Source organism: Homo sapiens, chromosome 1 (assembly GCF_000001405.40).
Source record: "Homo sapiens chromosome 1, GRCh38.p14 Primary Assembly".
Taxonomy (NCBI): Eukaryota; Metazoa; Chordata; class Mammalia; order Primates; family Hominidae; genus Homo; species Homo sapiens.
Window position 1 is genome coordinate 56,899,223 of NC_000001.11, and position 12,761 is coordinate 56,911,983.

At 42.3% G+C, this 12,761-nt stretch overlaps 1 protein-coding gene across 1 annotated transcript in view; it reads left to right on the forward strand.

The window, feature by feature from the left end:
• Nucleotides 1-12,761, forward strand: part of C8A (complement C8 alpha chain) — a 63,427-nt gene that overhangs the window by 44,426 nt on the left and 6,240 nt on the right. The window contains exons 8-9 of the mRNA NM_000562.3: nt 7,445-7,570; nt 8,734-8,891. Of these exons, the coding sequence (NP_000553.1) occupies nt 7,445-7,570; nt 8,734-8,891 (284 nt within the window). The remainder of the gene's footprint in view (nt 1-7,444; nt 7,571-8,733; nt 8,892-12,761) is intronic.

A 12,761-nucleotide genomic window follows, 5' to 3' on the forward strand; every position in this document is an offset into this window, starting at 1 on the left:
TTCCACCTCTAATATCACTGAGAACAGCTTCATACTTAAAGGAGAAAAGCTGAGATGGTGTCAACATTCTTCCCAGAGCCATCCTTAGCTCTCTTTCCCATAGGCGGTATAATATGGCATACAGAACGTGGTCTTTGGACACAGGCCTTGGTTCAATCCCAGTTCTGTTATTTACTTAGTGTATAACCTGGGCAAGTGACAAGCTATCTAAGTTAAGTTTAAACTATTTCAACCTACTCCTTTCTAAAATGGGACTGATCATTCCTATTGTGGCATGATGTGTGAACACTGAGTGAGCTAACACATGGAATATCTCCACCCAGTACATAATAGTGCCTATGAAGTCACCGGGTGCCCTTGTCCTCCCCACTCGCTCCTGGGCTAACCACTTATACTGCAGAAATGCCCATTAAGAAAACCTGATTTTACAAACTCCTCAGCCTCCCTCTTTTTCTAACTTTTCAGATTCCAAATCAGGAGCCAAAAGCCTCAGTGTAGGCTGCAGCATTTCTGGCAACAGCAGTAATAGCAACACTTGACTGTGATTGCTAGCTCTGAACCAGGCACTGTCCAGAGCACATTACATGGCATGGATTAACTCATTCAACACTCACAACAACCCTGGGAGGTAGACAGTATTAAAATCCCCATCTTACAGATGGGAAAACTGGGGCAAGAGAGGTTAAACAATTTGCCCACATAGTCATTGGACAGGGGTGGCATTCCAGCTCAGGTAGTCTCTGTTTCAGAATTTGGCCTTCATCTACGCTGTCTCTTGTCATGGCTGAAATTATGGAGAAGAGTCAGAGCCTCTGAAGAACCCTTATCAAGTAGGAGGAAGACATGGGACTGTAGTCAACATTGCCTCCTTCTTCTGCCTAGCTTCCTTTCTCTAAGCTTCTTTGTAGAATGAGGTAGTCAGGGAATGAGGAGTTGGAAGGCTCCTTTCAGGACTACCATTGGCTACACACCATGCATGATGAATGTTCCTCTGCAGAATAACAGTAGCATGATGAAATGGAGCATCCATTGTGTTTGAGTATGGCATATCTTGCTTCAAGACCTGATTCTTGGGCCTGTTAGTCCTGGGTGACTTTGGCAAGTTACCTAACAATAAAAGCTAGTATTTATTGAAGACCTAATTGTGCCAGACACGTTTTAGGAATTCACTTATAGAAACAATTATCATTCCCGTTTTAAAGATTGGGAGTATGAGGCAGAAAGCCATTAAATGAGTTACTCAAGTCACTACCAGAGAAGGTGAATGGTAGGACTCTGACCCCAGAGGTTACACTCTTAACCACCACAATTCCTGCTTTTTCCAATCTTAGCCTGTAAGATGGGTAAATTCTCCTTGTCCCAGAATATTGTTCAGAGTCTCCAATGAGATAATGCAGCTGAAAGTGCTTTATAAAATATAGCATATTAATCTAGCATGAGATATTACAAAACTGTGATTTGCATCTTCAATTAAAGAAAGACCTATGACTCCTAGAACGTTTTAGAGGCATTGTCTATATAGGCTAAAGTCAGCCAATCCCCAAGCCCTCCTGGGGGGCTTGGCACATGCCAGGCTCTGTGCAGAGATTTGCAAACCCGAGAGATGACTTAGAAGCTTGTAGTCTTATAGGAAGAACAGACCAAGAAATTGACAATTACTAGAGTGAGCTAAATACTATGCTGGAGAGAAGCACAGGGATACACTGGAACATAGACATAGGGCCCTTGGGGATTAAGAAAAGGCTGTCTGGAGCTCAGTGGGAGAAGCTCAATGAAAGAGATAAAGGGACTTTCTAGCACCTGCAAAGGCACTGAGGTACTCATTTTATTCTCAGGTGTTTTGGAAGAAGTGTGAGTTTTAAAGGATAAACAGAAACACAAAGGGGACAGGTGAGTTAGCTAACACCTCCCAACTAGCCCAGCCACACACTCCAATCATCTTTTCCAATGTGATGATAGAAAATAGACTATTAGATTCTCTTTCCCATTCTGAGGCTGTCTTTGGGGGCAACCAACATAGCAAAGCAATGTAGCACATAAATCACAGCAACATGAATGGTATTTGTTTTTTGCAAAGAGATAATGAACTACACCTGCTGTTTTCCACCTAATGCTTTTAATCTGAGGAATGACAGACTTGCAGTGTTCTGGCACCTTGGAAATCAAGCTGCCTGGTTCTGCCTGAGAGCCACAGACATGCAGAAGCTCCATGGAGGTGTGAGGGTGGCTCTCCCACCTGCGCCACAACCAAGACCATGTGGGAAACAAGTAGAAGACATGGTGGCCAGACTCATATCCTTTGGGCTCCTAGCCTGTCAAGTAGCCACAGAAACAGCTCACCTTGAGACCAGACTAGACTGGGAAGCAATCCAGCATCCCACTACCTCTGTACTTCCTTAGGGACCTCAACTGATTTGCATCTCTCTCTTTTCCACTCTGGAGTTTAAGTCACATTGGCTTTTCTGAGTAGAATCTTGCTGCTGAGGAAACAAGTCCTCTGCAGGGTCTCCCTCATCTCCCATTATACTCCTAGCTTTGTCTGGCTAATCCCTACTTGTTCTACTTGTCTCTGGCTCCTTCTTCTGACCCCCACAGATGCCTTCCCTGACCCTGCTGCCCTGTGTCAGAGTCCTCCTCGCACACTACAATAATTATCTGTTTCCTTGTCCATTTCCCCACACTTGACTCTCAGCTCATAGAGGTCAAGCACTCTCCTGAGTCATCTTTATTTCTCAACTAGCTCTAACACAGTAAAACGTCATTAGGTACTTATCAAAGTTGTCTCAAATGTTCTTAAAGTATTCTGCTGTGTTCTTAAAGTCTCAGGATCATGGCATTAGAGGTCACCTTAAAAGATCGCTGGTCTTTTCTACCCTTCAAACCCTCCTGTACCCTCACAGGCAAACAGCCAGCCTCAGCTTGGTCTCCTGCAATGGTGAGAGCTCACTGCCTGCTGAAACACCTCATCTCTGCTTGACTTCTGACTGTGATAATGATCGACCTTATGCTAAGCCTAAACTTGCCTTCCTGTAGCTTTTGGCCTTTGGGTCCTAGTTCTTGCCCTTGCAACCACACAAATAAACCTTATTCTTCTTCCTCAAGACAACTCTCTGGAGGGTTTAATCCAGTTCTACTGGTCTCTCTTAAAGATAAATCTTTTTTCCTTTCTTCAAGTAAATATCCTTAGTCGCCTCTAATATTTTCAAAAGGATGTGGCTTTGAACATCTTCACCCTCATGCTTGTTCTTCTCTGATCATTCCCTATTTTTAAATTTTATTATGGTAAAAATACTTTAACATGAAATCTACCCTCTTAGCCAACTTTAACAGTACAATACAGTGTCATTAACTATAGGGACATGTTGCTCTCAGACTTTATCTTGTATAATTGAGACTTTATGGTCATTGATTAGTAATTCTACCTTTCCTCTTGCCCCCAGCCCCTGGCAACAACCATGATACCCTTTGATTCTATATATCTGACTATTCATATATCTAATATAAGTGGAATCAGGCAGTCTTTATCCTTTTGTGACTGGCTTATTTCATATAGCAGTATATCCTCAAGGTTCAATCGCATTGTCACATATGGCAGGATTTTCTTCTTTTTAAAGGCTGGATAATGTTCATTGAAGAAAATCATATTTTCTTATTTCATTTTTTAAAGCATTTTTGCACACAGCTCTGAGTTTCCCTAATCTATGGAGAGGAGAGTGAGATTACTTCCTCCTTCATTTTACTAATTATAATTTGTACCCTGGTTTCATTACCCTACTGAGTGGGGAGTAATCTAAAACTCTAAGGCCTTTTCTTTTGTTCTCCCGCTAAGCTGTCTATTTCTCACTGTGCTTATTCATTTGGTATTTTGTCTGTAGGGTAGGATGTTAAAGTTTTCCCAGTTCAGTCTCATTTTGCTATGCTTGGTGATATGGTTTGGCTGTGTCCCCGCCCAAATCTCATCTTGAATTGCAGTTCCCAAAATCCCCACGTCTCATGGGAGGAATCTGGTGGGAGGTAATTTAATCATGGGGGTGGTTACTCTCATGTTGTTCTCATGATAATGGGTGGGTTCTCATGAGTTCTGCTGGTTTTATAAGGGGGTTTCCCCCTTTGCTTGGCACTTCTTCTTGGTGCCATGGGAAGAAGGATGTGTTTGCTTCCCCTTCTTCCATGATTGTGAGTTTCCTGAGGCTTCCCCAGCCATGCTGCACTGTGAGTCAATTAAACTTCTTTCTTTTATAAAATCACCCAGTCTTGGGTATGTCTTTATTAGCAGCATGAGAATGGACTAATACACTTGGTCAGTGTATCCACCCAGCCTTTTGAGACCTTTTTGGATCCTGTTTCTTTAACTGACTTAGCCTTGGCTTCTTCTAGTTCTTATTCTGAGTAGATATGATGGAACTGGCTACTAAGTCCATATCCAAGGCATTGACAAAGGTATCAACTGAGACAGGATGCCAGAGTCCTGTGGCAAGCCACCAGAGATACTCTGTAGGACCACCATACTCAACATCTGATCCAAGATCCAATGAAGAGGAATCATCTGGGATACTTGTCTGAAAAACAGATTCCTGATTTCATAGAAATATACAATTAGAATTGATAGAGGTTGGGCCTAGTTACCTATATTTTTCAAAAGTACTCCAGATGATCTCAATGTACAGCCTGGGTTGGGATTGATCAACTCCAGAGCTCACTGAGTTCAAAAGCCCCAAATAAACTGCAGTTTGACCTGGTCCAAAGTTAAGCCTAAGGAGTGCAGCCTGATGGGATGAGGTGGAGCAATGGCAGAGGATTGTCTAGTTCCATGAATATAGTCAGTCTATCCACACTACACACCTATCTGGGCAAGTTCTTTATAATGGCTCCAGACCTTTCTCTGTTCCTTTCACCCCAGACCCCCACCTCCAACTCTTTCTGTTTATCTCTCTGGTTCTGCGTCCTGGCTTCCAATGCCAGTTTCAACTCCTGGATTTGGGTACCAGGTTTGACTTCCTCTGACCCGACCCCAACTTGTTAGTGTCATTTTCCCACAGGCTCACTGTAGACAGCTCTGATTTTGGCATCTCTTACAGCCTCTGATGAAAGACTCCTTTCTAGCCCTGGTATATTGAAACAAAAAACTCTCGGGATACAGATTGGTCTTCATTTAAGATATGGCCCCCAGCCTGCTAACTTCTCAAGGGCAGGATCTTACCTTTGCAGTTTTGCATCATATTCACATTAGTTATATTCTCAAGGTGTCTACATTGCCCAATATGCGATATGCTGGGGATGGTACACAGTAGGTGCTTACTACATTTTCCTCTCAGATGGCAGAATTCTTTTGTCTGAGGCAATAACTGAGATTAGTAAAATACCACAGGCTTCTAAACATAACAGACTTGAGCGTGAATCTCAGCTTCACCATTTTTTAACTGTATGGCCTTAGGCAATATAATTAACCTTCATGAACCTCAGGCATCTCAGCTATAAATGAAAAGTATGAGCTAAGTGTCTAAGAGTGCTTGGGCTCTCAGGTTCTATGATTCTTTGTAAGTCACAGACTCCCCTTGCTGGCTGGGACCCTCTTTGGGGTCTTAGATGGCAAATCTCTGCAGTCAAGTCATGCTTCTCAAGTCAGACTGGAATTCTCTTCTCCCAGCATCACGTGGCAGGCTGTTGCCAGATCTTTCATGAGCATAATCACACAACAGGCATCCTCCAGCCCCCATTAATCAGCCTGTCCTGTGGCTTTAATTCAGCAGCACTCCACCATCCACCTAAGTAATCACTCTGGCTTCTGCCAGTGAATTCTTTTCATCCACTTTTGTTTATCACTGTTGAAGCATTTTTTAATCAAAACAATTAAATTTGCTAAATCTTCCCCCAATTAGTAATGCATTAAAAATTAAAAGTGTTTGAATGGAAATGGCAGAAGAAGCCCTTTGCTCAGTGCTGAGTGCCGGTGCTCAGAGCATCACTTTCCCCAAGCACTTTCAGCTCAGGAGTGACTCAGAAACTGATATCCAAAGAGGCACAGAGGGCTGCAGCTGAAAGGGGTCTTGGAGATGACAACCTCTTCTTTCCATAAATGGGAAATGGAGGCCCAGTGGGATCATGGGCCTTTCCTAGGATCATACAGGGTGTTAGTGACTGGAATTTGAATTTAGGACTTATGACTTCTAAGTTTCCTTCCATCAGAAACCCTTACCAAAAGACTCGGGGCATTCATTTATTTACTCATTTTTTTCATTCATCAATCATTTATTCTGAAAGTACTTACTGAACACGGCACACACCACATTGCTACGCTAACAAGACAATGGTGAATTAGACGCAAGTCCTTGACATCACAGAGTTTGCTGTTTAATGGGGACACAGGCAAATAAACTTTGATGCTCAATACTCCCTTGAAAATAGTGAATCTAATCTTTAGCTCAACTGAATGACAGGTCTAAATTATTTTTCCTTTATGGTTGATAGAATAACAGTATGACTGGAAATAATTATTTTGTATAGTTGTAGTTTAAAGGAATCATGTCTCAAAATACAAACTCCCATTTACAACTTCCAGATGACTCCTTTAGCTACCGAAAAGGTTGAACTCTGTAGCATGGGCAATATTCCTCCAGTCTGTTTATCTAGTTTTATCTTGCCAGGCATACCTAGGGTTGGAAACCCAGCTCTGTTTATTTACATAGCAATGTGGCTTTACTGCTTTGAGAATTATTTTCCTCATCTACAAAATGCAGGTTCCTCAGTGGGTCCTCAGATGTAGACAAATACAGAGATGGCTAACGTGGGCCTGACAGTCTTTACGGAGTCTGAAGGGCAGGTAAACTTTCCATGGTGATCCATCCATCTTCTAGCAAGACTTTGGCCTCTCTGGGGCGCAAAGAGGATCTGGACAAAGAGAATTGTGATGAAGATGATCATTCAGGCACAGAGAACATCGGTAGCTCTGAAAAAAGAGGGAATTATTCAGATCTAAAAATAGTTCATGGAGTAAATGACATTTGAATGGAAGCTTGAGTAGCCTTTGGAAAGATGATGGAAAGGGAGGAGGAGGGGCATTTAGAGTAGGGACAAATATGTGCAAAAGTTCAGGGTAATGGTGCCTATCATGGCCCGGGCACTGAGGTAGGCATGGGGGCAAATGCAGAAGGATGAGATAGAATTATTGCCTCAAGGTGGCTCAATAAAGAATGGTCAAAGGAAAGAGTGCTAGCATTTTTTACCAACTAGTATGTGCAACACATATCTCTTCTCATTTCAAGAATTATTTTGGTTGGAACCATGCAGAAGAGAAAACTGAAATTGGATTAAAGAACCGGGCTTTCAACCCAGGCCTTTTGGACTCCAAAGCTGAAGCTAGCTTTTACTACTCTGACATAGTTGTACCATGTCAAGTGTCTTTTAATAACTCAGCATTTTGTGTTTCTCTGTCTCCCTGTTGCAGGTATTACCAGCAGAGATATCACGACATGTTTTGGAGGCTCCTTGGGCATTCAATATGAAGACAAAATAAATGTTGGTGGAGGTTTATCAGGAGACCATTGTAAAAAATTTGGAGGTGGCAAAACTGGCAAGTGTTTAGTAATAGATCTCCCAAAAAGAGAAGCCAGGCTTTCCTTTGGACACACACTGGGACATGGAAGCTATTTTTTTTCCCAGTTGATTGCATTTTAGTCAATGATCAGACTGCATAGACGCTAAATACCCCAAAACAATGACCTGCAGTGGCTTTATTTTGAATCTACCATGGGCTTAAAATCACCTTAGAAATACCTACCTTTATACGGGGCACCCTCCTAGATTTCAAGGGTTAGACAAAGGTCCAAGTAAGAACTAGAATGAAAGGAATCTGGAAAATGGGCTGTTTGAATGAAGACCCATCATATTACAGTTCAGAGGGAGGAAATAAGGCTGTTGAGAGAGAATATGGTACCGAGTCCAAGCTCAAAGAATAATTATTAGAGAGGGATTGTACAGGAATATTTTATGGCATTTCCTGAACAAGTCAGTTGGGGTGTTCATGTGTTCATTTACTCATCCATTCATCAAACAGGTATTGAGTTTTTTTCCCCAAGTGGGAGACACAGAGGATACAGGGATGATGAAGAAGTTTATAATGCAGTGGGTGGAATAGATATTAATCAGGTTCAAGCTATTCCTATTGCATTAGGTTACCTGTACCTCAGGGCCTTAAGTCAAATTGTTTCTTCTCTCTTTCTATCCTCTCTTCATTTACCTGGCAAATATTCACTAACCTTTGTAGACAACTCACCTTTCTTTCTGACTGCCTCCCACACCCCCTACTGTATAGCTAACTAGTTTCTTTCACTGTGCCCACATTGAGTCCTATAGTAACATCTGTTGTACCTATAGCACCTATAATATTTGATTGAACCTATTCGGCATATAGCAGGCACTGAGTAAATATTTGATGTAAGAATGAATGAGTGAATGAATGAATAAATGAATGACCACCCATTTCCTGTTCCCCTTATCCTCCATGTGGTCTGGGCTGTCCTCTCAGTATTTCTCCACTCCAGAGGATGGGTCTATTTCTGAGTCTTGGTCCTTCCCTTCTGCCTTGTCCTGCTAGCTAACCAAGAAGAGAAGAAGAATGGTAAACATCTAAGGAAAACATGTAAACTTTCTTCCAAATCTCATTAGTGGGGTTTGTCAACCAGTCCTTGGGCTTTTTGGGAAATGAGTTAATGCAGTTTATCCTCTTGATGGCAGAAAGGGCCAGGAAGGCCATGGCTGTGGAAGACATTATTTCTCGGGTGCGAGGTGGCAGTTCTGGCTGGAGCGGTGGCTTGGCACAGAACAGGAGCACCATTACATACCGTTCCTGGGGGAGGTCATTAAAGTATAATCCTGTTGTTATCGATTTTGAGGTAAGTCTTTTCGCAGTTGAAGAAACTCTACGTCCATGAGGAATGAAAGTGAAGCAGACCAGATCATTTCATATTTCTTATTATGAGCCCATCAAAGAACAAGATTAAATGTAATGGCACACTGAACTAGTGGCCTTGCTTGTGCCTGACTCCAGGGAGTGCATGACTTCAGACCCAGGCCACGGGACAGCTGGGATCAGAAACTGATGATCTAGTCAGTGCCTAGTTTTACACTGCTCATCCCAGAAGTTCCTCAGCATTAGGTCACATTAGGCAAATCATGATTTTTATTTATACATAAAACACTTCAAAAATCACATGGGCTAAATTAGGGGGTGGCAAACTTTTTCTGTAAAAGGTCAGATAGTAAATATTTCAGGCTTTGTGGGACACATACAATCTATAATACACAAAGTAGTAGTATTAGTTCTTCTTCTTTCTCTTCTTCATCAAATCTCTTTAAAAATATAAAAGTCATTCCTGGCTCAAAGGCCATACAAAAATAAGCTGTGGGTTGGACTTGGACCCAGGCTGCAATTTGCTACCATCCTCCACAGTTATCTCATCTCTCCATTAGAGGAACCTCTGTCATAGATACTATTCCCTCCCATTAAAAAGATTAGGAAACAGGCTCTGAAAAATCAAGTGAAAATATTTGAGGTCATATAGCTCAGAGGTGGCAATGCTTGGATTTCAGACCTTTGGACTTCGTATCCAGTTCTCACTTCTCTCTATCCTAGCACCTCCATTAAAGCAGTGGCTCTCAGCTACTAGGGGCAGTTTTCCTCCACAGAGGAAATATGGAAATGTCTGGAGATGTTTTTGATATTTTTGTCACCACCCACAGTGGGGCAAGGAGGTGTTACTGGCATCCAGGAGGCAGAGGCCTGGGATGCTGCTAAACATCCTTCCATGCACAGAACAGACCCCACAGCAAAGAAATATCTGGCCTCAAGTGTCAATACTGCCAAAATTGAGAAACCCTGCCTTAAATGCTTAACCTCACAAAGTGTGAAAAATTCTATTTTAACCACAAAGGAAGTGATTGTTCTAGCAGTTGCCAAACTATTTCTGTCCATATGTGGTGTAGTCCATTTAAGAGACTGCATTTCAGACTTTGAAGCAAAAGATCATCATTTTCTCATCCATTTTCTCCCCACCCTTGCCTATTTTTCTACATATATTTAAAATCCCAGATATGGATATAGTCCTCCTCTTAAAACATATGCCTACAGTTAAACCTAGAAGTCTATTCTAACACCCTGGTTTCTGTGAAGAAACAGGTCAGATGGATCAACCTTGATTTTATTTCTTCTTCAATAAGTAAGAGACCATTTTCATGCAACTGTAATTCACATAAGGTTTGAAAATTGATATCATCAAGCTATTAGTGATTTGAGCAAAAACTGTAAAATTGATATCAGGAGTAATACATAAACTTTCATAGGCAAGAGGTGAACTTGGTGTTTGCCTTGAGAAAAACTTCCCTGGGAAGACTCAGGGTCATCATTTGGAGAAGACCACTACAGTCTTTTGGGAAAGAGCCCAGGCTTTGGCAGGATTGGGTGAGAGGGAGGAGAAAGACATAATTTAGGTCATAGCTCAGCTGCTTTTTCAATGTGTGACCTTTGACAAGTTACTTCCCTCACTGAGCCTCAGTTTCCTGCTCTATCACATAGAGATATTTCACAAGACTCAGGAGATCAGAAGTTACTTGGTAAATGTCAGTTGAAGAAACAGGTTCAGCACAATATCTCGAAATTGGCAAATGATAGAGTCCAACTCGAGTCATGTTTGACTGACACTAACATCCTCAGTCTCTTCACAACTCATGTTGCCCCCTGAGAAGTTCGGACTCAATGCATTAAGCCACGGGCAGGCTTTATAGCAGGGAAGTAACACAGCTAGCACTGTGTTTTAAAAAGAGAATGCTCACAGGGAAATAAAGGGTGATTTGAAGAAGAGAGAGATTACAGACAAGGGGACCAGGTAGGGGTTATTTGGAGCCTGATGTTCAGAGTGGAAACAGCATGTTATTCACTTGCATATACCCCAGAGTTCAGCAGTGCTTATTTATAGCAAGTGCTTAGAGTTTGTGAATGTAGGAGTCCTGCTATGTTACGTTTGTGTTATGTTATTTTGTTATGTTGTGTTGTGTGATATATTATTATGCATTATCTTGTGTTGCTATATTGTATCATTTGACCTCTGAGTCTTTTTTCTCATCTGCAAAACGGGAACAAGATCACTGCCAATACCTTTTCAAGCTCTAACGTCCCAAGATCCCTCTTCTCCACCTCTCTCTCCTCTTTTAACTCCACCAGTCCACCCTATGGAGGGCTTCCCCTCTTCCTGTGGTTCCTGGGAGGGAGAGATCTGAGGTGGGGAACTGGATGCAGAGCCCCACTGGAAAGTCAAAGAGAAATTGCTCAATGGTCCTGGCTTTCCCTGGAACTAACAGTCATCTTTGAGAAGGCCAACAGGGCAGCCTATTCTACGCTGACTTCCTAACAATGGGACTGAATTCTCTGAACTTCCAGTAAGTGGTTTTCTCCCCTTGGCTGGGGACCCTACCAGTCCTGATATTACCTGCCTGCTGACCTCAACCGCAACCCCTGACCACAGGCCAAAGTCTGTTTGCCACAGGTCTTTCTGTACACATTTCCAGGAACTCAGACAAAGCTATTGCCAGTGCCCTCAGTTGACTTCTGTTTCCAGGGAAGTGCGACTACCGTAATGTGGCTCAGTCCTACTGCTGACTTGCTCTGGCACAGTCCTACTGCTGACTTGCTCTGTGACCTTGGCAAATCACTTCCCCTTTGGGGGCCTCAGGTTCCTCTCCTTAAAATGAGAGATCTGGAGAAGTGCCTTCCTTTTATGAAGTATTAACATGTATAACATTATAAGCATGCTGAAGATAACCACATATGCATGCAATTTGAAAAACATGGGTTTTTTTTTTTTTTTTACTATTATCACATACAACTAACAAAAATGGTGCTTTATTTTTTGTCATTCTTCCCTTGTACAGTAGTATCTCACATTCAGTACTTCTTTAGATCCTCATAAGAAATCTGGGAATTAAGTATTATTCCCATTTTCTAGATAATGAGGATCAGACTTAGACAGGGGCAGTTAGGCCACATAGCTAGAAAGTGAGTCACATTTACTTAGTTTTACCATGTGACAGGTCTTTCCCCTATATCATCTCCCTTAATCCTCACAATAATCCTGGAGGGTGTGATGACTGTTCTCCCTTTACAGATGAGGAAGGAGGCTCCGTGTGTCATGTGCCAAAGATCACACAGTCGGAAGCAGGGTAGCTGGGGTTTGAAGCCAGGTTTTCCGGCTCCAGATTCAATCCTCCTTGTGCTTCATCTACTACTTCTCAGTCGAGGCAATTGTTTCCCCCAAGGAATATTTGGCAATGTCAGGAGACAGTCTTGGTTTTCACAACTGGAAGGGGGCTGCTGGCATGTAGTGGGTAGAGGCCAGAGACTCTGCTAAACAGCCTACAATACAAGGACAGCCCACTCCTGCCAGTAAAGAATTATCCAACTTGATACGCAATAGTGCCGAAGTTGAAAAACCCTGAACTACGGTCATGTCTGGAATGGGTTGCATCAGTTGTAAATAACTCCCACCCAGCCACATGTAGCTGCCACAGTTACACCATTAGGGAAATTGCTCAGCAATGACAACAACACTACCTGTCAAGGATTTTATTAATTCCTGCATTGAAGGCTGACATTTAAAACACACACTTTTCCTGCTTCCTAAATGTGGTGGAGAGGGCAGATGAGTTGGCACAAATAACTTCTAAGCCCACTTGGGATTGGGAGTGCACAGGTTTCAGAGTTAAGTAGGTGA